The 26,358-nt window shown below is 46.4% G+C and overlaps 1 protein-coding gene across 6 annotated transcripts in view; it reads right to left on the reverse strand.

Moving 5' to 3' along the window:
- The window catches only part of RASGRF1 (Ras protein specific guanine nucleotide releasing factor 1), a 130,875-nt gene continuing 116,595 nt past the window's right edge, over window positions 12,079-26,358 (reverse strand). For all 6 annotated transcript variants that reach the window (NM_001145648.3, XM_017022456.3, XM_017022455.3 and 3 more), the window contains 3 exons: window positions 25,476-25,593; window positions 24,039-24,107; window positions 12,079-14,409 (listed from right to left, as the gene is read on the reverse strand). In NM_001145648.3, the coding sequence (NP_001139120.1) occupies window positions 14,317-14,409; window positions 24,039-24,107; window positions 25,476-25,593 (280 nt within the window). In that variant the 3' untranslated portion in view covers window positions 12,079-14,316. The remainder of the gene's footprint in view (window positions 14,410-24,038; window positions 24,108-25,475; window positions 25,594-26,358) is intronic.

Raw genomic sequence — 26,358 nt, forward strand, 5'->3', positions numbered from 1 at the left:
ATTCACTGTGTGACCTAAGCAAATGGTTCCCCCCCGCCTCCCCCCCACCAGCCTCAGTTTCCTCATCTGTAAAATGGAGCAAGTATCCCTGCTTTCCAGGGTAGTTAGATACGGTCATGCAGTTTAAATATAATTATAGGTAAAATACCTGGCCCTGAGCATGGCACCAGAATAGAGACTCCCCCCATGCATGGGCTTTTCTGATGCTCCGTTGTGTGCTTTTTATCCTTTGCTACCTGCACACACTTTTCATGGTGAGTTTGTCTGACCCTCTGGCTCCAGCTGGCTGGAGGGCTTCTCCGTGGTTCCAGTCCTCTACACCTCTACAGAAATGAGGCTGAGGACTGCAGCTGCTGGCACAGTCTTGGCTGGACAGGGCTGGTAGGCAGAACTCGAAAGCTTCCTATTCACTCAAGCACAATCTAGCGACTGCCATGGAGGACTTTGCGGATGGAATCAACGTTTGAATCAGCTGACTTTAAATAGGATTATCCTGGGTTATCCGAGGGGCCCTGTGGAATCATGTGGGCCTTTAGAAGCAGAAGAGCATAGGAGAAGAGTCGGAGAGAGGGGGCAGAAGGAGAGGTTGGAGAAGTCAGAGGGGGGATGAGGCAGGTGGGGTCAGAGAGCGCTGAATCATGAGAAGGACTCTATCTGCCACTGCTGGCTTTGAAGAGGGCCAAAGCCAAGGTACACAGGCAACCTATAGAAGCTGGCCGTAGTGACAGCCAGCAAGGAAACCAGGACCTCAGCCCTTCACCAGCATGGAACTGCATTCTGCCAGCCCTCTGAATGAGCTTGGAAGCAGATTCTCCCCCAGACCCTCCAGGGAACCAACCAAGTCCACATGGACTTCTGACTTACAGAACTTCCGTAGAGTACATTTGTGCTATTATAAGCCTCTAAGTTTGTGGTAATTAGAACACAACAATAGGAAGAAACCAATACACCAGATGAAACACCCAAACTGGCAGGTGCCTCATTGGTCTGAAGGTCTGGTGCATATGGGGGCTGAGAGGCCAAGGGCAAAGAACAGGCCTATCCATGGTCAGAGTCATGACCTCTTGTGGGGATGTGTTGGACCCTGCTCCAAGTGCCTCACACAAATAAACTTTGTGACTCTTCACCTTTTATTTTATTTTTATTTAGTTTTTTTGGAGACAGAGTCTCGCTCTGTCGCCCAGGCTGGAGTGCAATGGCACGATCTCGGCTCACTGCAACCTCCGCCTCCCCAGTTCAAGCAATTCTCCTGCTTCAGCCTCCTAAGTGGCTGGGATTACAGGTGCCCACCACCACGCCCAGCTAATTTTTTGTATCTTAGTGGAGACAGGGTTTCTCCATGGTGCCCAGGCGGGTCTCAAACTCCTGAGCTCCGGCAACCCACCTGCCTCGGCCTCCCAAAGTGCTAGGATTATAGGCCTGAGCCACCGTATCAGCAGAATCTTCACTTCTTAATCCCCATTGTACGGATGGGGTAATTGAGGCACTTACGTACATTGTCTAAGGCCACACAAGTAAGTAAGAGTGGGATTTGAACCCCTGCTATGAACCCCTGGCTACCTGAGTCCAGAGTTCTCCACTAAAGCATTTGCCCCATGGGAACAAGTGATGACGATGAGTCCTGAGGCTTGCCTACCTACCTGAACTTCCAGGTCTAGAGTTCCCAGAAACATCAATAGGAGTCCGCTAACCACAGGTCCTGGAATCTGCAGTCACTGCCTGCATGCAGAATGCCTCCTGCATGAATGTTCTAGTCATTGTTACCTGCCCCACATCCATTTATTCTTTTCCTTAAGCTGAATCTGGGGATAACAAAAAGGATAACACAACTTTATCACCCCCCTCCCCCACCCCCCACAACTGTTAACTACAGGTTTGACTGGTTTTCCAGATCACCTGTTAGAGCCAACATTGTAGCAGACAAGCTGGGCCTTTTGCCACATTCATTTTCTTACCATGGTAATATAATAGCCACCATTCACATGGGTTTTGTTATTTACTGCTCATAACAACCCTGTGAAGGCCCTTATGAGCATACACATACTCAATTTTCAGATGAAGAGATTGAGACTTGGAGAAGTTAAGTAGGCCTGCTGGTAAGAGGTGGGACTCCTTCCACATCCACAGGCTGATTTTATATGGTAGGTCGGTAGGGGATTGGCTCAGTGGTTGGGTGCCTGGCTATGTGTTTGGATGCATGTGTGGATGAATGAATAGAAGAAGGGATGGCTGGATAGACGGCTCTGTCCATGGCAAGATGGACCAACAGCTGTATTGTTGGATGGATGGGTGGAAGGAGGGATGAATGGATGCAGGGATGAGTGACCAAAGTTTGTAGAGTGGAAAAGGTAACGAATACAGTAGGGGTGTAAGTCCGCATCAAGGAGGTTCAGCCACCAAAGGAGCTTCAGCTGCCTTGTAATGTGAATTTGAACTCTTGTTAGTTCTGTTGGCCAGGAGACATCCTGCCTAGCCACCTTGATTACTTCCCTTGGCTGTGGGTCAGAGAATTCCAGCCTGAAAAATGTCCATTGACTGAATGAGAAGGCACTGTTTGTCCCCTGGAAAGCCAGAGAACATGGAGAACACCACCCCTTTGGCCAAACCCTGGAGATGCTGCACCCACAGCCAAGAAAAGTGTGGAGACCTGCAGAAAAGTCCAGAAGCTGGTGTTTCATCACAGCCAGGATCAGGGTGAAGCAGCGAGGTTATGCTGTGCAAGTCCAAAGGTCGATTATTTATTTATTTATTTTCGAGACGGAGTTTCACTCTTGTTGCCCAGGCTGTAGTACAATGGTGCTATCTCGGCTCATTGCAACCTCCGCCTCCCAGGTTCAAGCAATTCTCTCGTCTCAGCCTCCTGAGTAGCTGGGATTACAGGCACCCGCCACCACGCCTGGCTAATTTTTGTATTTTTAGTAGAGACGGGGTTTCACCATGTTGGCCAGGCTGTTCTCAAACTCCTGACCTCAGGTGATCCGCCCGCCTCGGCCTCCCAAAGTGCTGGGATTGCAGGCGCGAGCGACTGCCTGATCCCATATTTATTTTTAAAACGTGACATTTTGCTCACCATGTGTTTTTTGCATTAACTTTTCATTTTAAAACATTGCATTCAAGTATTATTTATCTTGATTACTGCATTTTTGGACACTCCCTGACATTTTGCACCTCAGTAGTATGCCTCACTGCTCTCGCCCTAGTCCTGGCCCTGTAACAGAGTACTCATTTCTGGACTTTTCTGCAAGCTGCAAACTCCCGTGCAGTGTGAGCTTATCCCAGCTTAGTTGGCATAATTCCTACCTCTAGGGGAAGTTGGAGTTCAGAGGCAGGAGTTCTGAATCCCACAGTTACAGCCTCGTTGTTTCTTCTCCAGGGCCTCCTTCAGTCTCTCTTTGTTCACAAATTTTCACAGCCTATACTCCTTTGCTTTGCACTTAGGACCCTCTGTGATTTTTCCTTATCCTGCTTGTAATGCCCACCACCACTGCACTCAGCATCAGTTCACAGGTCTACTTCCTGTCCTGGACACAGCCCCATCCCAATTCTTCTGCCCACCTCTCCTCTTTCTTAGCCACACCGTCCCCAACCCATTCCAAATTTCACCCCAGTTGAATTTTTCCTCTACGGAAACTTCCTCTTCCTGAACTCCTGAATTAATAATCTGCACCACACACTCACGTTTAATCCTTTATGACTTTTCAGGGTTTCCTGCAGCTGACTGATCTTTAGCCAGTTTGTACCAGTTTGGCCGTGAGTCTGAGTGGTTCAGTGCCCACGCCACACTGGTGGTTAAATATTTTGAAAATCACTTCCCTGGTTTCCTGTGTCTTCAGTGAAATGGAACACACTCGTGTGTTAGTGCTCAAACACAGAGCCTGGCTCTCTGCAGGCACAACACAAATGGTAGCAGTAGCAGTAGCAGTGGTTGTTACTGTTTATTCTGAGTCAGATGGTAAAAGGCTTGTGGCATTGAAGGTGATGTTTGAAGGGCTTCGGGTCCTGGAATAAAGACATTTGGAGGTGCTGTACTCACCTCCTGATTAGGCTTGTGGGTGCCTTGAGAAGTCTCTCGAGAGAAGCAAAAATGGGTGGATGGTGTTTGCAGGTGGGTGCAAGGTTTAGAGGGAACAAAGAAATAGAAAGGCACAGTTGGGGCCATGGAGAGACCCAGAAGAGGCAGTGACCAGAGAGGATTGCAAGTTTGCTTGGACCTGCCCGACGTGAGCAGAACATTCCTAACTCCCCTTCCTGGCGATGAGAAGGGCCTTGACTATTTCTGGGTCATGAGTCACTTGGTCTGATTTGGGTAATAATTGCATAGTAAACAAGCAAACAAGGGCTGATAAGGGCTTGACTGAATGAAAATGGAATCAGGCCAGGTAGGAACTGAGCCTGCAAGATTTCAGCACCAAAGCCCTATTGTGGTGCCTCTGCACACTTCCGGGACCAGCCACCCACCCAGCCCCATACCCAGGCCCACCCACCCGCCACCTGCCTCTACCTCCCTGCCGCCCCCAGGGTCCCTCTCTCCCTGGACTCCTCACCCCATTGCAGCTCAACCCATCACTTACGTCTACCTTATCTGGGTCACCCCAGCCCCTCTTCTCTCCAGAAACCCTGGGCTTCTTCTATTCCTTCAAGAACAAGTTTAAGACCCTTCCTCTGAGAAGCTCTGCCTTGCCAATCCCTTTTTCTTTCTTTTTTTTTAACTTTTAAAAAATTAAAGTGAAATTCATATATCATATACTCAGCCATTTTAAGGTATGCAATTCAGTTATCCCATTAATCTACATAATCTCCTGATCACATCTGAAGTGCTTTGTGAATGAGCAGTTACAGCCAGTTTTCCTCGTTTTGTTGAGGCAAAATTCACATAACATGAAATAGGCCATTTTGAAGTGTATAATTCAGAGGTGTTTAGTGCATTTATAATGTTGTGCAACTATCACCTCTCTCTAGTTTCCAAACTTTTTCATCACCTGCAAAGAACACCCCATACCCATGAACTAATTATTCCTCATTCCCCTCTCCCCACCCCATTCCCCTGGCACCCACTACTCGGCTTTCTGTGTCTATGGATTTGCCTATTCTGGACACTTCATGTAAGAGGAATCATATGATAAGAGACCTTTTGTGTCTCTCTTCTCTCAGCGTAATGTTTTCTAGGTTCTTCCAAGTTATAGCATGCGTTAGTACTTATTTCTTTTTAAAGCTGAGTAATATTTTATTGTATGGCTATACTATGTTTTGTGTGTGTGTTTGTGTATGTGTGGGTGTGTTTTGAGATGGAGTCTCGCTCTGTCACCCAGGCTGGAGTGCAGTGGTGCAATCTTGGCTCACTGCAACCTCTGCCTCCGGGTTCAAGTGATTCTCCTGTGTCAGCCACCCTGAGTAGCTGGGATTACAGGTGCTTGCCACCACGTCCAGCTAATTTTTGTATTTTTAGTAGCGACGGGACCTGTTTTTGTTTTTGAGACAGGGTTTTGAGACAGAGTCTCCCTCTGTTGCCCAGGCTGGAGTGCGTTGGCGTGATCATAGCTCACTGAATCCTCCATCTCCCAGGCTCAGGCGATCCTCCCACCTTACTCTCCTGAGTAGCTGGGACCACAGGCACTCCCCACCATGCCCAGCTAATTTTTGTATTTTTTTTTGTAGAGACAAGGTTTCACTATGTTGCCCAGGCTGATCTGGAACTCCTGAGCTCAAGCAATTCATCCTCAGGCTCAGCCTCCCAAAGTGCTAGGATTGCAGGTGTGAGCCACCCCGCACCTGGCCTATACTACGTTTTTAAAATCCACTCATCTGTTGATGGACATTTGGCTTGTTTTCACCTTTTGGCTATTATGAATAATGCTGCTATAAACATTTGTGTACCAGTTTCTGTGTAGACACATTTTTGTTTCTCTTGGATATAAACCTAGGAGTGGAATTGCTGGGTCATATGGTGACTCTCTTTATTTTTTGAGAAACTGCCAGACTATTTTTTCACAGCAGCCGAACCATTTAACATTTCCATCAGCAATGTATGAGGGTTCTTATTTTTCCATATTCTCACTGACACTTATTATTTTCCATTTTTTTTAGATCATAACTCTTCTAGTGGGCATGAAGTGGTATCTCATTGTGGTTTTGATATGTATTTCCCTAATGACCAGTGGTATTGAACATCTTTTCATGTGCTTGTTGGCCATTTGTGCATTTTCTCTGGAGAAATATCTATTCGAATCTCTTGTCTATTTTTTTTTTTTAGATGAAGTTTTTGCTCTATTGCCCAGGCTGGAGTGCAATGGCCCGATCTTGGCTCACTGAAACATCCGCCTCCTGGGTTCAAGCGATTCTTCTGCCTCAGCACCCCAAGTATCTGGGATTATAGGTGCCCATCACCATGCTTGGCTAATTGATCTTTAATTGGCTTGTCTGGTTTTTGTTGTTGAGTTATAGGTGTTCTCTGTGTATTCTGAATACTAAACCATTGTGAGATACTTGATTTGCAAATATTTTCTGCCCTTCTATAGGTTGTCCTTTCATTTTCTTAATGATGTCCTTTGATGCACAGAAGTTATAATTTGGGTGAAGTCCACTTTATCTCCTTTTTTGTGGAGCCCCACTTTGAATCAGACCTGACTCCTGAGCATCTCCCATGGGTCAGACATGGATCAGTTTGCTGCATGAGACAATAGCCAAGTCAGACTTCCCTGGCCCATGTAGAATCTCGTGTGAGGGAAGTGACATGGGTCTGTGCCATCAGATAGAGCCTATTGACCTGAGATGGGTACAGATGAAGCCCTTGGCTGGGAGAAAATCAGGAAAGGCTTCCTGGAGGGAAGGACATTTGAAGAAGGATGGGATTTGGAAAGGCAGAAAAGACAGAGCAAAAATGGTGCTCAGGGTGGAGGGAAGAGCTTTGACGAAGGCAGGGAAGTGGGAAGGCAAGGTGAACCTGACAGGAGACCCTTGCTCTGACATTTATTATTAACTTTGGTTCTGGCCTGCACAACTGAGTTGGGGGTTGAAGGAACTGAGATATGATGGAGAAAATGAGGTCAGTTTGGTCCAGGTGAATTGGAGGTGGAAATAGGGCCCCCAAATCGAGACGGCGTCTAGGTGGTTGGCTATAAGGATCTGGAGTCTGGAGTGATGTGTGGGCTGGGAGCTAGACACATGTTATTTGACTTGTGGTTTTCCACTCTTCAGCTGGGTCATGGGCTCGGGGAGGTCAGGAGCTGGTTAGATGCTTGTTACCTAGGTATGCACACACAGGCGCTTCATGAATACTTGAAGGCTGGGTGGTTTTGGGTGGCACCTTCATACTCCCCTGACAATAACAACCTGCCTCTTCAGCTTGTTATTGGCCTGGCAGCCAGGGAAGCCTCCACAGGGCCACTCTTGGGAAAGAGACTGTAATCACTAAACACCAGGCAAGAGCATGAAGCCTGCTGAGGGGCAGTCATACATCAACAGGTGACACCATCTGCCATTGTGAAACCCACTTACACCAAAGAATGCTAATAGGCCAGGTACAAACTTTCTTTTGTGCTGACTTTAAAAAACTCCTTCACAGAGTTGGGAGGGGAGACCCTAAAAATCCAACCAACCACGTACATCCGCCAGTAAACAGAGAAGCTAACCAAATCCGCTGCCTCTCTCCCCAGGAACTAGCCTAGAGCCTGGAGTGCTATTTCCTTTCGTGACACTAGAAGTATTTTATGATTCATTGACCAAGGGCCAAGAAGCCCAGTGTCTGCCATTTTGAAGAGTGAGGCAAAAGAAGAACACCAGAAATATTGATCCTGTCTTTGATGATTTTGGTATTTTGGTCATTGTGGATTTTATTGTAAATTTTGACTTTTTAAAATATTGCCGTAAAATGTTATTCATTTCAATAATAATACTGTTTTTTTTTTTTGGTGGCCCCTTAAATGTTATGCCTGGGTGGGTGCTTCTCTTGCCTCATCCTAGTGTAGGTCCTGAGAAAGCCCCTGAGAATTGCCCAGTGCCTCCTGCCGGATCAGAACACTGACCATCTGCAGCAGGTTGTTACCAAACAGAACTTGGGTCTGCCCACCTGGTACAGCAAAGCCAAGCACTGGCATTGGGATTGCAGTAAGAGAAAGGGAGGCAATGATTGCAGGGCACCCAGCAAGGGGAATTGGGCAGCTCATACTTAAGACTGAATTCCCTCATGGCTTACAGCAAGGGCTTTTAAAGATGGAGAGGCAGAGGTTACAGGCAATGTCATAAATCAATACATGGAGGCAGGCTGGGCAAGGTGGCACACACCTGTGGGCCTACCTACTTGGGAGGCGGAGGCAAGAGGATCACCTGAGCCTAGCAGGTTGAGGCTGCAATGAGCTATGATCATGCCACTGCACACCAGCCTGGGCAACAGAGTGAGACCCTGTCTCAAATAAACACCACCACCACCACCACCACCACCACCACCACCAACAACAACAACAACAACAACAACAACACCACCACCAACAGGCTGGGCGCGGTGGCTCACGCTTGTAATCCTAGCACTTTGGGAGGCCGAGGCGGGTGGATCATGAGGTCAGGAGATCGAGACCATCCCGGCTAACACAGTGAAACCCTGTCTCTACTAAAAATACAAAAAATTAGCCAGGCGTGGTGGTGGGCGCCTGTAGTCCCAGCTAGTCTGGAGGCTGAGGCAGGAGAATGGCATGAACCCAGGAGGCGGAGCTTGCAGTGAGCGAGATCGCGCCACTGCACTCCAGCCTGGGTGACAGAGTGAGACTCTGTCTCAAAAACAAAAACAAAAACAAACAAACAAAAAAACACCACCAACAAACCTCCAAAACATGGAGGCTATATATTTGGTTGGACCTAAAAAGTCTAGACATCTTGGGGAGGGGGGCATGGGTCATAGGTGGATTCAAAGATTTTCTGATTTGTAATTGGTTAAGGAAGAGAAGCTCTGTCTAAACATTTGGGATCAGCAGAAAAGAATGTTAGCTCTGGCTCGTGGGCATGACCTCCTCCAGGCCCCTCAGGAAGAGCAAAGAGTAGGGGACAGCGGTTAGTCCTGGTTCCCCCTTACCTGAGGTCTATGTGCCAGGGTCATCTGGGTTTCTGAAAAATAACATATATTAAGAGGTTATCTTTGGTTTCCATAGGAAACATCCCAACACTCTAACTTCCTTGGCTATTGTTTCAGGCTACTGTTACCTTCTTGCTTATCAAGTTTCTCATTTGCTTCTCAGGGAGAGCTAGGTGCCTGGAATTTCCCTTGAAGGAACTCAAGATTTTCCTTTATTTCCATCCCTGGGGGGTGCCCAGCAGGCCTATAAGAGGAGTCCTCTCAAGGTGAGTGAGTGATGACCTCACAGCTTCCTTAACAATAGGTGTCTGGCTTTGCATTATCCAAGTTTCAGGCTAGATGTCCCAGCCTCAGTGTTCCCCTAATGGTTGTCCTCGTGGTCTTTATTGCCCTACCTTGGGTATTTCATTTTATTTATTTATTTATTTAATTTTTTTTTTTGAGATGGAGTTTTGCCCTTGTTGCCCAGGCTGGAGTGCAATGGTGCGATCTCGGCTCACCGCAACCTCCACCTCCTGGGTTCAAGTGATTCTCCTGCCTCAGCCTCCTGAGTAGCTGGGATTACAGGCACAGGCCACCATGCCCAGCTAATTTTGTAGTTTTAGTAGAGATGGTGTTTCTCCATATTGATCAGGCTGGTCTCGAACTCCCGATCTCAGGTGATCCACCCACCTCTGGCCTCCCATAGTGCTGGGATTACAGGCATGAGCCACCGTGCCCAGCCTCCTTGGGTATTTTAAAAAATTGCTCACTGTCCACCGCCCACTAGAACATAGGCCTTGTGTGGGCAGGGATCTTGTTTGCTTTGTTCATTAAGTCAGCAATGCCTGGAATGGGGCCTGATACAAAGTAAGTGCTCTAGAAATAGTTCATGAATGAACAACAGCTGATGGTTCTCAAGCACTTGCCACGTGCTGATCACCTCACCTGTAGCAGCTCATTTAATACAACAACTTTGCAAGGCAGGTACTATGCTTGTCTCCATTGCACAGGTGGGAAAACTGAGGCATAGAGTGGTCTCGTAACTTGCCTAAGGTCGTATGGCTAGTAAGCAGTGAAGCCGGGATTTGAACCTGAGCAGTCTGGCTCTAGAGCAGGGATTCTCAACCTCGGCATGATTGACATTTTGGGCTGGATAGTTCTTTGTGGTGGGGGCTGTCCTGTGCATTGTAGGCTATTTAGCAGCATCTCTGGTCTCTACCTAGTAGATGTATCACCTGGCCTCCCCAACTGTGACCACCAAAAATGTCTCCAGACTCTGAGGCGAGGAGTAAAATCACCCCGTTGGTAATCGCTGCTCTAGAGTTTGTTTTTGTTTTGAGACAGTCTCGCTCTGTCGCCTAGGCTGGAGTGCAGTGGTGCGATCCTGGCTCACTGCAACCTCCACCTCTGGGGTTCAAGCGATTCTCCTGCCTCAGCTTCCAGAGTAGCTGGGATTACAGGCACGTCACAATGCCCAGCTAATTTTTGTATTTTTAGTAGAGACAGGGTTTGACCATGTTGGCCAGTCTGGTCTTGAACTCCTGACCTCAAGTGATCCGCCCGCCTCGGCTGGGATCACAGGTGTGTGCCACCACGCCCGGCCTGCTCTAGAATTTGTAATCACTCCACCACGCTGCCTTCCTATTTTGAATAAATGAAGAAATGCTTGACTTCCAATCTGATGCATCCATTGCCCCAGTGTCTGCTTGTAGGGACAGAGGCAGAAGCCTCCCTGCTGAGGCTGGAAGGCCAAGCCGCCCAACTGTGCTTTTCACCTTCGGTGAAGAGGAAGAGACCCCACCAAATGGACCCGCTAGCACATAGAACTGAACTCTGACTGCAGTTTTGTTCTAAATTTCTTCCTGAGGGGCCTGTGGGAGGTCATGCCCACAAGCCAGAGCTAACGTTTTTTTCTGCTGATCCCAAATTTTTAGACAAAGCTTCTCTTCCTTAACCAATTACAAATCAGAAAAATCTTTAAAAATTTTATTTATTATTATTTATTTATTTATTTTGAGACAGAGTCTCGCACTGTCGCCCAGGCTGGAGGACAGTTGTGCTATCTCGGCTCACTGAAACCTCTGCCTCCCAGGTTCAAGCAATTCTTGTGCCTCAGCCTCCCCAGCAGCTGGGATTACAGGTGTGCAACACCATGCCCAGCTAATTTTTTTTTTTTTTTTTTGAGATGGAGTCTCACTCTGTCACCAGGCTGGAGGGCAGTGGTGCGATCTTGGCTCACTGCAATCTCTGCCTTCTGGGTTCAAGTGATTATCCTGCCTCAGCCTCCCGAGTAGCTGGGATTACAGGCGCCTGCCACCACATCCAACTAATTTTTTTGTATTTCTAGTAGAGATGGAGTTTCACCATGTTGGCCAGGATGGTTTCGATCTCCTGACCTTGTGATCTGCCCACCTCGGCCTCCCAAAGTGCTGGGATTACAGGCGTGAGCCACTGTGCCTGGCCAATTTTTTGTATTTTTAGTAGAGACGGGGTTTCACTATGTTTCCCAGGCTGGTCTCGAACTCCTGAGCTCAGGCAATCCTCCCGCCTCGGCCTCCCAAAATGCTGGCATTACAGGTGTGAGCCACTGAGCCTGGCCCAGAAAATCTTTGAGTCCACCTATGACCGGTGCACGGCACCCCCCTGAAGATGTCCCGCCTTTATACATCAACCAATGTGTAGCCTCTGTGGTTGATTTATGACCTTGCCTGTAACCCCTGCCATCCCAACTTTAAAAACTCTTACCTGTAAGCCATCAGGTAGGGTAAAGACTTAAGTTCAGGTGTTAAGCATGAGCGGCGTGATTCATCTTGCTTGGTGCCCTTGCAATAAATGCCTCACTTTCTCTCGCTGCAATCCCAATGTCAGTGCTTGGCTTTGCTGTGCCGGGCAGGTGGGCCCAAGTTTGTTTTGGTATCAAGGCCACTGACCCATGGAACCCCAGGACGGCTTTTGGTGCCAGGAGTAACAGCTGATGTCTTGCTTAACAAAGCAGCTTGTCTTATACTACTTCATTGGCACCTCAAAACACATTCTTCCTTCTTTACCATTAACTGTTTAATAGTACTTAATACCATTAATTATAATAATTCATTTAATTCTACTCTGTAATGAGATACCATTTTCATCCCCATTTTTCAGATGAGAACAGTGAAGCTCTGAGAGGTTAAGTGACTTGGCTGAGCTCATGAAGCAGGTAAAGCTGGCAATCAAAATCAGCTGGCAGTCAAAAGAAGGATCTAGAATCTTCTCCCTCTAGATCCCTTCTTTCTCCGCTTGCTATCCCCCTCAGATCCCAGCACAAAGTAGGGCTAGGATGAAAATGCCTGGAGGAAACGGAAAAGCAGTTATGGAGCCAGCTGGCTGCAGGTCCCAGGGGAGGCGGCCTTGGGAGCTCTGGAGTGGGTTGTGCCTTGCAGTGGGCCCCATGCCTGTGACTGAGGGTGGTGTTCCGGGGCTTCCCTTCCTGGGTGACAGTGAGGACACATCTGGGCAGGATGGCATCTGGGCAGCCTTGTAGCTTCTGCCTGAGGCTGCTGGAACAGTCGCTCTTGGAACCCAGCTTCCGGACTGTGAGGAGCCCAAGCCACACAGAGAGGCCACGTGTGGATGCTCCCATGAACAGCCCCAGTGCAGCCCAGCAGACATCAACATCCAGCCATGTGACAGCGCCATCTTGGTGCACCAACTAGAGCACCACCCGGTCCAGTTGAGCCTTCAGATGACTCCAGTCCCAGTTGCTGAGTGACTGAAACTTCATGAGAGACTCCAAATAAGAACTGACAGCTGGACCCAGTCAACCCATAGAACTGTGAAAGGTAACAAAAATGGTTTTAAGCCATTATGTTTTGGAGTGGCTTGTTCTTGGTGCAATAGGCAACTGAAACAGTCTTCCCCACCAAACTGTTGGTGCCTAAAAAGCAGGTATGGTGTCCTTGACACTCTGGATCTCCGGTCCCAGGCTGGGCTGGGTAAGGAGCAAGTGCTCATCAAATATTCCTTGACTGAACGAATGAAACCCATCAAAACTCGCTGTTCACCCTGAGATAGAATAGATTTATTAGCAAGAGGTAATCAGGAAACATATATTTTTACAAAAATGGAAATTTTTTTCCAAACAAGCTGTAAGTTGAAATATTTTAGGACTTGAAATAGAATTCTCATACCACTAGGTATTGCTTACAGCAAAAGTTGTCTGTCTGTTGTAGTGGAGCATGCCTGCCACTTCGGAGTTAACCTGTGTTTTCTATACTGTACAGTGTAAAAAATACATGGTAATATTCACAGAATAAGCACTACATTACTATATTCCTGCTAGAAGGCATTTAGACAGGACTACAGTATATGCAATAAAAACACTTGGTTATTGATTTCCTAATTCTACAGTGTGGTACTAATTATCACAAGGTATACAGACTTAGAGCATCTCAATGTAAGCTTGTAGTGACCGTTAGGCAGCTTAAAGAGGAAAAGTGACATTTTTGTGTTCCCGACTTTCAGTGGATGCTGGGCCAGTGGTCGGCAAGAGTCGACGTGGCTTGGTGTTTGTGACTCCATTTCCTCGGGAAGTCTAGGGCCTCATCCAGTTGTATTGAGACTGCTATTCATGCTATCTGGTGTTAATCCTAGAGCAAGGAGCGACGTGGGGCCTGAACGAGATGGCAGCATTGGTACGAGGGGTGTGGTTCTGAGCAGAGAGGACTCCCTTCCGTCCAGGTTACTGGGAGACACATGGGGAGTTTTGAGACCTGCGATTTTGGCTGGAGAAGCTGCTTTGGAAATTGACATCACCATCAGCGGGAAGATTTGTCAATGACTGGACTTCAGGGTATGGTTTCCCCCTCCCGCCGCCCCCCACCCCCCACCCAGTTATAACAACTACATGGAACATGCTGGGAGGATGCCTGGGTGGCCACCTCAACCCAGGAGCCTGGGCTGGGGAGGGACGGAAGCAGGACTGGAGTCTAAGATTCTTGTATGCAAGGGTGCTGTTTCCCCTCTGAGAAGAGTGAGGAGTCTAGGGAAGAGGGACCAAGAGTACAGCTGTTTAAAAGAAACAGGCACTGCAGGAGACGAGGGGAGGGATGGGTGGGCGAAGTCTGAAACGGTGCAGAAATTCATATTCCGGTTCTACAGGAATCTAAGAACAAGGACGATTTGTATTCTTGGAGAAGCACATACTGAAGAAGAAAATCCAGTGAAACCAAACGAATATGTACAGTATCATCTAGCACATGTCCCCGGGAGCAGCTGGGTCTGGGCTGGGCTCAGCTTCAGGTGGGGAGTTTTGGTTCTATTCGGAGAGAAGACTCGTAGAGGCTTTCTTCATCCATTACAAAAGATTGGTCCAGTAAATATTGCGTTACCTGAGAAAAGAAAAGAGAAAAGGGAATGGGAGGGTTGTGGGACCTCCATAGTACTGATTGTGGATGCACTTTATCTCCTAGGGCCCAAGCCTCTTACTGTGGAGAGTCAGGTGGGCATATGAGGCAAAAATGCATTCAGTAGTGTTCCATCTTGACATAAGTTTTAAGCAGTCGACGTAAGTATTGTCTTAGGATTATTATTTAATATTGTCATAATATTAAGGCTGGTACAAAAGTAAAAAAAAGTCAATTGTAGAAACTAGGTGGCAGATATATGTGTTCACAATTCTGCCAGTGTTTCTGTATGTTTGATCTGTCTGTCACAATTCTGTCAGTGTTTCTGTATATTTGAAAAGTTTCATAAGGCTGGGCGTGGTGGCTCATGCCTCTAATCCCAGCACTTTGGGAGGCTGAGGCAGGAGGATCGCTTGAGCCCAGGAGTTTGAAACCAGCTTGGGCAACAAAGTGAGACCCTGTTTCTACAAAAAATCAAAAAAGTAGCTGGGTATTGTGGTGTGCACCTGTGGTTCCAGTTACATGTGAGGCTGAGGCAGCAGGATCACTTGAGCCCAGGAGGTCAAGGCAGCAGTGAGCTGTGTTCACACCACTGTACCCCAGCTTGGGTACAGACCTTGTCTTAAAATAAAATAAAATAAAATAAAAAGTTTTATAATAAAATGTTGGGACAAAATGTATTAAAACGCTAGGATTACATGGTACTGTGAGAGATCCACTCCAAGAGAGGCAAGTGGAAATGGAGGCTGTGTGAGAGAAGAGCCTCCCTTTTTCTCACCCTGGGGAGAAATCTTAAGAGTGGAAAATCAGAAAGATGCACTCACATGAGTTAGGTTATCCTGTCTTCTCCTCTCTCCCCACCCCACTCCTGCTCTGAAGCATTTTGCTGAATGCCTGCGCATTAAATGTGCAATGAGAGATCTGAGCTCTAACCTCACAGGCAGCCCCCTGCTCCAAAAAGTATCTTTCCAAGACTTATTTACTTGTCAGTTGTTTGGAACTAAAGGCACATTTTTCCCCGCTACATAAATCCAGAGCAGAAAGAAAAAAATTTTCTTTTTTTTTTTTGAGACAGCATCTTGCTCTGTCGCCCAGTCTGGAGTGCAGTGGTGCAATCTGGGCTCACTGCAACCTCTGCCTCCCGGGTTCAAGCAATTGTCCTGTCTCAGCCTCCTGAGTAGTTGGGATCCCAGGCATGCACCACCATGCCTGGCTAATTTTTGTATTTTTAGTAGAGACAGGGTTTTGCCATGTTGGCCAGGCTGGTCTTGAATTCCTGGCCTCAAGTGATCCACCTGCCTTGGCCTCCTGAAGTGCTGGGATTACAGGTGCGAGCCACCGTGCCTGGCCAAATTTTCTTATTATATGTTTGGGAATCTTTTGGTAGCTGCTTGAGAAAAATAAAGTCTGCTGCTTTTGTCTTGGCTAATTGACTCTGCTACTATAAAGGTTGGAACCGGCTGTCTGCTATGCTGATTAATAGTCACAGATAAAGTGATTACTATGTCTGATTAGCAGCTCGTTCCCAGCACTTCTAGGAAGATGACTTTAGATATCACAGTCTGGTTTAACCTACACCCAGTGATAAAGACATGGCGATTTTATGACCATGTGAAATAGTCTTTTATACCTAGATAGTAGTGTCATGTGAACAGTCCTTTCTAGAATGCATGAATCTCTACCTCCCAAGCCCCCTGGGGATCAGGAAACTGATTAGTTTCCTCCGTAGTGAGCATGTGCAGGATCAATTTTAGTAGAGACGGGGTTTTGTCATGTTGGCCAGGCTGGTGTTGAACTCTTGACCTGACTTGGCTAAGTCAGGCTAATTTTCCTAAGACATTGTACTTTCGAGGAAGACTGGCAGCATATAGCACCATTGCAAAGCAGTTAATGAAAGAAGTCTGAGGAGCAGTAATATTTATTTATTTATTTTTTTTTTTGAGGGGGAATTTCATTCTTGTCACCCAGGCTGGAGTACAGTGGCGCCATCTTGGCTCACTGCAACCTCCGCCTCCCGAGTTCAAGCGATTCTTCTGCCTCAGCATCCCGAGTAGCTGGGATTACAGGCATGCGTCACCATGCCTGGCTAATTTTTGTATTATTAGTAAAGACAGGGTTTCACCATGTTGGCCAGGCTGGTCTCGAACTTCTGACCTCAGGTGATCCGCCTGCCTCGGCCTCCCAAAGTGCTGGGATCACAGGCATGAGCCACTGGCCCTGGCCAGTAATATTTATTTGTATTGCACATCAAAGTTTAAGGAGACAAAAGCAGGAGATGGAAGAAAACCCTGAAATTTTCTTGGTAACTTCTGAGACTTTCCAGGGCCCAGTGTGACCACGGTGCCTTCTGGATGAGCCCTGTGTGATCCACATGGCAACTCTGTGGTTCTCAGGCTGGATGAACACACAAACACAGACCCTCAAATACTGCTGAGTTATGTTGATACTTTTATCTTAATATTTTTTATTGTAGAATAAAGGACATGACAATATAAAATACATTTTTGGAGAAAAACAGAAGCCCATAATCTCACCACTCTAAAATAACTGTTTTCATTTTTTTGTGTGATCGTCTCGTTCTTAGAATACAAAAGTACTTTTCCATAGTTGTACCTATGGAATGGACAGCACTTGGTATGCTTTCATTTATACTATTAGGTTTCACCATGTTGGCCAGGCTGGTTGAGAACTCCTGACCTCAGGTGATCCACCCTCCTCGGCCTCCCAAAGTGCTGTGATTACAAGCATGAGCCACCGCGCCCGGCCGTTTTCAGGTTTTTTGATATTTTATATATAAAATAAATGTTGCAATGAAGATCTTCTAGAATACAGCCTTTTGCCTCAACTAAGTGTTTAAATCATAAATCCCTAGGAGAAGGATCATGGGTTTCTTACTACAACGGCCAACACTGTCAGCAGAGTAGGCTTGTCAAGGATTGAGTATCATTTTACTTAAAAAAAGGTACATACAGTACAACTCACTCTTTTTGGTGAGCATGATTCGGATGCACACGGACACTGGAGACCCACTGCCTTTAAATCCCTCTGCTCTTTCCCGGAGGTTCTTGCCCCCAAAGCAGGGGCTCTAGCCCTGCAGTTGCCAACAACCCCCCTCTTTAGCCACATTAGACCCCCTCAACAGGCCCTCAAAATCCCCTCACTCATTCATGGAGACCAGAAACCAACCGTTACTCATGTATGCATGAGTTCTTGCATCAGACAGCAATGCTTTTTTTATAAAGTCCTTTTACAAAGGTTGTCATATTTAATCATCAAAAACAACCCATCCCACACTGGTATAAGAATCTCATGTGACCAGCCAGGCGCAGTGGCTTATGTCTGTAATCCCAGCACTTTGGGAGGCCAAAGCAGGTGGATCACTTGAGGTCAGGAGTTTGAGACTAGCCTGGCCAGTGTGGTAAAACCCCATCTCTACTAAAAATACAAAAATTAGTCGGGCGTGGTGGCAGGCACCTGTAATCACAGCTACTTGGGAGGCTGAGGCTGGATAATCACTTGAACCTGGGAGGCAGAAGTTGCAGTGAGCCGAGATCGCGCCACTGCACTCCAGGCTGGGTGACAGAGTGAAACTCCGTCTCAAAAATAAAATAAAAGAATCTCATGTTACAGTTGAGGCAGAAGGTAACACAGTTGGTGAGTGGCTTCGCCGGGATTTGAACCCAGGTGTTCCCTGGTCGACTGAGAGAAGGATGTGAGAGTGGGCTGGGTGGAGGCTGGTTGGTGTTGAATAAGGCAGAGGGAGGAGCCCCAGAGATGCTGAGCAGGCTCTGGCTTGCTGCTGTTAATTGGCCAGGGAGCCATTCTGTACCCCCAGTGGCTTAGGCCTGATTCCCTTAGTGCTTTAAGCTGATGAATTCAATGTTTGATCTTGTTATTAAAATCACCATGTGTTTATCCTCTAAGAGCCATGCCCGAAAACTCAAAGTTTCCCTACCAGACCATGAGGACTTAAATTTTTTTTTTTTTTTTTTTTTTTTTAACAGAGTCAGGATCCCACTCTGTTGCCCAGGCTGCCCTGCAGTGGCACGATCATGGCTCACTGTAGCCTCAACCTCTTGGGCTCAAGTGATCTTTCTGCCTTAGCCTCCTGAGTAGCTGGGACTACAGGCATGAGCCACTACGCCTGGCTAATGTTTTTATTTTTTTGTAGAGTTGGGAGCCTTTACTCTGTTGCCTAGGCTGGTCTCAAACTTCTGGCCTCAAGCAATTCTCCTGTCTTGGCCTCCCAAAGTGCTGGGATTACAGTTGAGAGCCACCGTGCCAGGCCCGGGACTATTTATTTTTAAATTGTATTTTTATTTCTTTTTATTTTAAAGTTGATTTATATCTTATTTTAGATATAAAATTAATTTATACCTTATTTTGTGTAATTAAAAAAGCCAAGTAGCATTAAACGGTTCATAATGAAAACCAGCAATCCTTTGTTGCCCCTTCTCAGCCACCAGGCCTGGCTCTCTAGAGATAGCCATTTTCAGTTCTTACAGAGCCCCCCAAATCCAGTGCAGCAGCCATTAGCCACGTGTAGCTACTGAGCACTTGAAACAGGGCTCATCTGAATTAAGATGTGACGTGTAAAATACACACTGGATTTTTGAAAGTTTAGTATGAATAAAATAAAGTAAAATATCTCAGTCAATTTTTAAATTGATTACATGCTGAACTGACAATTATTTGGATATATTGTATTAAATAAAATATCTTATTATAGTTAATTTTACCTATTTCTTTTTGCTTTTAAAAAAAAATGAGGCTGGGAATGGTGGCTCAAACCTGTAATCCCAGCTCTTTGGGAGGCCAAGACGACAGGATCACTTGAGCGCAGGAGTTCAACATGGGCAGACCCTGTCTCTATAAAAAAATAAAAAATTAGCTGGGTGTGGTCATACCTTAAGCCGGGGAAGTTGAGGTTGCAGTGAGCTATGATTGTGTCACTGCATTTGAGCCTGGGTGACAGAGTGAGACCCTGCCTCAAACAAACAAACAAAAAAACAGGCCAGGTGCAGTGGCTCATTCCTGTAATCCCAGCACTTTGGGAGGCCGAGGCAGGCAGATCACTTGAGGCCAGGAGTTCGAGACCAGGCTGGACAACATGGCAAAACCCTGTTTCTACAAAAAATATAAAAGAATTAGTTGGGTGTAATGGTGAACACCTGCAGTCCCAGCTATTCAGGAGGGTGAGGTAGGAGGATCGCTTGAACCTCATGAGGTCGAGGCTACAGTGAGCCAAGATCACACTATAGCACTCCAGCCTGGGTGACAGGGTGAGATCCTGTTTCAAAAAACTAAAATAAATAAATAAATAAAAATAAGTTAAAAAATGTGACCCTGTAGGATACTTAAAGTTACATATGTAGCTTGCATTATATTTCTAGTGGATAGTCCTGTTTTACATATTTCTTCCAGTATTTATATCTGTTTTTCCATGGTTAATGCTTTTACTGTTGTCTGTTTTCCGGCCAACTTTTTATTTAAAAAATATAAAAACTATGCATACAACATATACGTATAATCCTTTTTCTGAGGGCTGAACCATTTGAAGGTAAATAGTGTAGTGTTTCCCCCACTGAATACTTCAGCCATGCATCTCCTAAGAATACAGACATTCTCTTACATAACCATAACATCATTATACCTAGGACATTTAATATCAATAAAATAAAATTAGCTGATGTACAGACCAGATTCAAATTTCTTCAAGTTTTAATGAATAAAATAATCTTTATAGCTGTTTTTTAAAATCCCAGATCTAACCGACATTCACACATTGCATTTAGATGTCATATGATTTAGTCTTATTTTATTATTTTTTTTTGAAAAAATTTTTTTTCATTATAGAGACAGGGTCTCACTATGTTGCTGATCTTGAACTCCTGAACTCAAGTAGCCTCCTCCCTCTGCCTCTCACAGTGCTAGGATTAAAAGCTCACCACTGAGCCCAGCCTGTGTGTTTTAGTCTTTTTTATTTTTCATGACACTGATGTGTGTGTGTGTGTGTGTGTGTGTGTGTTTTATTTTTAGACACAAAGCCTCACTCTGCTGCCCAGGCTAGTGTGCAGTGGTGCAATGATAGCTTACTACAGCCTTGAACTCCTGGGCTCAAGTGATCCGCCTGCCTCAGACTCCTGAGTAGATGTGACTACAGGCGTGCACCACCATGCCCAGCTAATTATTATTATGATTTTTGCTAGAGATAGGATCTCTGATCTCCCTATGTTGCCCAGGCTCACTTCAAACTCCTAGGCTCAAGTGATCCTCCTACCTCAGTCTCCTGAAGTGCTGGGATTTACAGGCATGAGCCACTACTCCCAGCTGATATATATATATATATTTTTAATTGAAAATATTTTATTGCTAAAAGACATTGATATTTTTGAAGACTATATGCAGTAGTGTGTTGGAGCTGGCTCATGCCAGCCTGCATGTGCCAATTTTTAGCCTCTGTTCCCAACTCTGCTTTCAGTGATGTCCAGGTGGTGGTTTGAAAGTGGCCCTGCTGGCATCACCTAACAGGCTCCTCTGAGTTCTCTTCATGCCTAGGCTTCAAATTTGGCTTGCCTTTAGCAAGAATCCCCCCACCTTGATATCTGCTCAAATTCTTCATTCTCCACCCCTGATACCCGAAGTCTTTGGCCGGACTTTAATAAAAACCTGTTAGGCCGGTTTAGCAAGAATTCCCCTACTCTTGCTATCTCCTCTTAGTAATTTTCCATCCACTGACCCCCTTTCTTGGCCCATTGACTACAAATCCCCACCTGTCCCTGTTGTATTTGCAGTTGAGTTCAATCTCTCTCCCCCAAGAAACAGTCTTGGCCTCTATTGCATCAGGTTTGAATAAACCTACTATTTTAAACAAATGTTCCAATGTTACCATTTTTAACAAGCGTTCCAATCATTTTTCTCTTCAACAGCAAATGCTACACATCAAGACTCAATCCTCTACCCCCAAGACCAGTTTAACATTTACTAGCACACCACTGAGTTACAGAGCAGTTGTCTCGCAGAATGTCCCATATTCTGAAATTGTCTGTTGGTTCCTCCTGATTAGATTCAAACACTTGGATGCATAATATAGGTGATGTTGTGGCTCATGATGCCCTTTATTTCTGTTTTGTCCAACATTGAAAATCCTAGGTCATGCCTGTAATCCCAGCACTTTGGGAGGCTGAGGCGGGTGGATCACGAGGTCAGGAGTTTGAGACCAGCCTGACCAACGTGGTGAAACCCCGTCTCTACTAAACGTACAAAAATTAGCCGGGCGTGGTGGCTCACACCTGTAGTCCCAGCTACTCAGGAGGCTGAGGCAGGAGAATTGCTTGAACCCGGGAGGCAGAGGTTGCAGTGAACTGAGATCGCGCCATTGCACTCCAGCCTGGGTGACAGAGTAAGACTCTGTCTTAAAAAAAAGAAAAGAAAAGAAAAGAAAATTCTAGGATTCTATGGCCCCCTATTCCTTTCCCAACCTCCCATTCCTCTCCCCTGCTTCATTTCTTCCATGGTTGTAATAATCATCTGTCATATTATATTTTTTGCCTCTTAGTCTATTTCCCTCTAGAACACAAGCTCGTGAGGGCCAAGAGTTTATCTGTTTTGTTCACTGCTGAGCCAAGAGCCTACTATAGTGCTTGGCATGTAGGACTTGCTCAATGAATATTTGTGGAGTGAGAGAATGAATGGAAAGCAAAGCAAAAGTGGCCAGTTTAACTAATTGTAGTTAGTCCACTGATTTTTCTCCTTCGATACGGCTATCAGCTATAAAGCAGATCATGAGTTCTCAGAATATGGCAAAAAATTGACACATTCTCAAAAAACACATTGATCACAAAGGACATTAGAAGGGAAAAACAATAAAAGCTTGATTTTCCGGTGTGCTTGAGGGTGTGTCTGGAGCTGGATGTTTTTGTGAACTGCACACTAGGAGGTTAAGATGCTGTATCTCTGGGCAGGGAAGAAAGGTCATAGGATTGGAGGCTGGGCGTGGTGGTTCATGCCTGTAATCTCAACACTTTGGGAGGCTGAGGTGAGTGGATCACCTGAGGTCAGGAGTCTGAGACCAGCCTGACCAATATGGTGAAACTCCGTCTCTACTAAAAATACAAAAATTATTGGGGCATAGTGGCGTGCCAGACCAGCCATTCTCTTACATGGCCTTGCAATCTTTCAAAAATGCAAACTAGTCCAATTACATAACCTCCTTTCAGGGCTTCCCATGGTCCTAAGGACAAAGTCCCTGATCCCAGCTATGCGGGAGGCTGAGACAGAAGAATTGATTGAACCCGGGAGGTGGAGGTTGCAGCGAGCCAAGATTGTACCACTGCAGTCCAGCCTGGTGACAGAGTGAGACTCTGTCTCAAAAAAAAAAAAAAAAAAAAAAAAGAAAAAGAAAAAGAAAAGAAAAGTCATAGGATTGGGAGCCCAAGAGTCTGGGTTAGCAAATCTGTTATTTTATCTGTAAAATGGGGCCTACAGTACAGGCTTTGAATAATGTAATGAGACTAACATGCCAACCATTCTTTTTTATTAAACAATTTTTTTTTCTTTTTGGCTAGCTGAGACTTTTTTTTTTTTTTTTCAGACCAACCATTCTCTTACATGGCCTTGCAAATCTTTTAAAAATGCAAACTAGTCCAATTATATAACCTCCTTTCAGGGCTTCCTATGGTCCTACGGACAAAGTCCCTGATCCTTTTAGGATCCCACCAGTTCCATCTGTTTCTGGCAGGCCTGATGCTACTCTCTGCAGCCAGCCATTTGGTGGTGGTGGTGGAGGGGGTCACTGTACTTAGCATTACACAAGCCTGTCTCTCTGCAAGAAAGACATGTCTACCCCGACCAGGAAAACTCTTCCAGGATTCTCCTACTCCAGTAAGGCTCTCTAGGCCCTCAGAGCAGCACAGACCCTGGGATCCATACCCTATGGCCCTCCCTGCCTGTTTCTGGATGTACAAAGTATTTCTTTGTGCCTTGTCTGTAGCAGCAAAAGATCAAAACAACCTAAATGTTCATCAATACAGAGGATTGGCTAAATAGATTTCTCTGCAGCTGTAAGAAAGAATAAGGATGCTTCTATTTTAATAGGAATGATCTCCAAGATATATTATGAAGGAAAAAAAGGAATGATACTGAGCAGTGTATAGTATGCTAGAGAATGGTATGCAAAGTTGGCTTGTGTTTATGGATTGCCTGTGGACCTAGACACAAGAAACGGGCGGAAATGTTGCCTTTGGAAGGGGAACTAGGTGGCTGGGGGACATTTCACTGTGCACTCCTTATATCTGTGGATTTTGTAACTTGTAAGCATAGTACCTTTCAGAAACAGATGTTATCAACTCTGCCTGTCTTGCCCTGGGGGAGATTAGACATGAATATAAACCATCCTATGGCAGGTAAAATCAGACAAGAGTCACAAGATGAACACAGGCCCAATTTGAAGAAATAGGGACTAGGGAAGCCTTCCTTACAGGGATGGCATTTGAGCTGGGCTCGAGAGAATTCTGGAAGGGAAAGTGGACGGGTATGGAGGGGACAGGGTGGAAGGTGGCCTAGACAGAGCCACTGTGAAAGCATGCAAGTGACCAGGAAAAGGCACAGCTTACCTTTGCTTGGTGCTCTATTTTGTAGGCAGTTTGTTGAAACTGGCGAATCTCTCGGATAATATGGGATATCTGTGGGAAGGAAGGAGTGTTTCAGAATGCAGTTTGCTCTCCTAGTTCCACCCCCAACTTTGCAGAGCTGAAGGGGCATCAACAACTAAATCTGAAGTCAGCCTCTTAATTCCATACATGTTGCCTCCTGGAAGGTCCCACGGAGGCATCATGTGTGTTTGTTTTTATTTTTATTTTTTGAGATGGAGTCTCACTCTGTCGCCCAGGCTGGAGTGCAGTGGCGTGATCTCGGCTCAGTGCAACCTCTGTCTCCTGGGTTCAAGTGATCCTCCTGCCTCAGCCTCCTGAGTAGGTGGGATTACAAGTGCATGCCACCACGCCCGGCTAATTTTTGTATTTTTAGTAGAGATGGGGTTTCACCATGTTGACCAGGCTGGTCTTGAACTTCTGACCTCAAGTGATCCACCCGCCTCAGCTCCCAAAGTGCTGGGATTATAGGTGTGAGCGACCACACCCGGCCTCATGTTTTTTTTCTTTTTTTTTTTTTAAACAGAAATCTGCTTCCAAGACTTGTCAAGACTCTATAGGTAAATTACACTATGTGACTGAGAGAAGAAAAAAAATCTCCTTTAATTAGTGGCATAAGCTACCTAACATCACTAGAACAAAACCCCACGACTCCAGCAAAAGTTAAAGGCATCAGCCACTTCCTTAGCGCCTGCTGTGCACAAGACACGATGAAAAGCAGCTTTCGCTCTTCAGGATGGTGCCTGAAAAAACCCTTTCCATCCAACAAAAATCTAATGTCAAGGCCCATTATATAAAACTGGTGCAAGTAGAGGCTTTCTGGCGAAGTGAGAGGGGAGAAGGAGACGGTTAGAATCCTGTTCCTAATGGGAGAAGTCTCCTCAGCCCTTATCCCAAGTTCTAGATTTTTCTGGGAAAACTGGAAACTTACTCTTTTAGGAGGTGCTGTGTAAGTGGTTTTACTTTGTCCACATCAAGCAAGTGTCGATACGAACAATACGGATGGGTGTGAATGACAGTGTGGGGCTTTGGAGTCACCTGGACCCGGGCTCCAGACCTGGCTCTGCCCTTTACTTGTGGGGTGACCTTGGGCTGCTCACTTGACCTCACTCAGCCTCAGTCTGCTCATCTGAAAGGTGCAGAATAAGAAGAGCAGCTACCTCTCAGACTGTCAGGACTAGAGGAGGAAATGCCGGTGAAAGCATGGCTCAGGGCCTGCCAGATTCTAACTGCTCATCAATGATAGTGATGGCTGTCATTGGGGAAGCTGGACCCAGGCTCCCAAATGGGGGCACCCTATGCAGCAGGTTGGGCCTTGGGGGGCAGAGTGTGGGTGGGCCCCAGGTTGAGTCATCTGGGCTTCAACGCCCCCCTTCCCCTGCCTGGCTGGGGGGAACGCACCATCCTCATCTTGGAGAAGTTGACCAGGCCGTCTTCCGTGTAATTGGGCGTCCCCTCCTCGATGAAGGCCAGGTCGGTGAGGTACATCCCCAGGTAAGGGACACAGGGTGGGTCACAACTTGGAAGCAAACGGCATTAACACAAGTTTTTCATTTTAAAAAAGTAACGTCTACCAAGAACAGAACATCCCGCATGCACCTTTTGCTTTGCTAGAGGCAAAGGGACTTGCAGTCACCAAGAATCACACTACACTCTAGAACTGACTATTCTACACGCCCAGGACTGTCGGCTGGGTCTCAGGGCCAGTCCTCTGGGGTGGTGGGGGCAACATGGTGCTGACTGGGGCCTCTTACACCCACTGGGGCATCTCAGATTGTCTCTTTCCTCCCTGAGCCAGAAGGTCCTCCCCTACCTCTCTGCCTTCTGTCCCAGTCAGTCCCTGGGCTCTGTCACCAGCCCCTCTGGACTCACCTTTCCTATCTCTCCCTGAGACTCTCCCATCCGGATCCTCCCCCGAATCACCTCCTGGAGGGCTCTGCAGCCCCAGCCCCCCAACTCCTGCCAGTCACCCTATCTGACACCCTTGTCTCTGCTCCCTGAGACCTCTCCTGTCTCCACTGGCATCTCCCACCCACCTAAGCACTGGGCTTGGGTGCCAGGGCAGGAAACCCTTGCTCTCTGAGATCACTTTCCTGAAAGTGGCTTTGGGGCAGGGGGTTGGGTGATAGTTTCCATGGTTGGTGACTCATGGGGGACTGCATCTTTGGGAGCTGGGCCCCCGGAGTGATGGGCCATGCCTCTCTGATTTTTGGTCCAAAGCAGGGCCTCCTGTTACTGTTCCTTCCCAGCGTGTTCTGGTGCCCTTGGCTCGGTGCTGGGTAAG

Source organism: Homo sapiens, chromosome 15, assembly GCF_000001405.40.
Source record: "Homo sapiens chromosome 15, GRCh38.p14 Primary Assembly".
Classification (NCBI taxonomy): domain Eukaryota; kingdom Metazoa; phylum Chordata; class Mammalia; order Primates; family Hominidae; genus Homo; species Homo sapiens.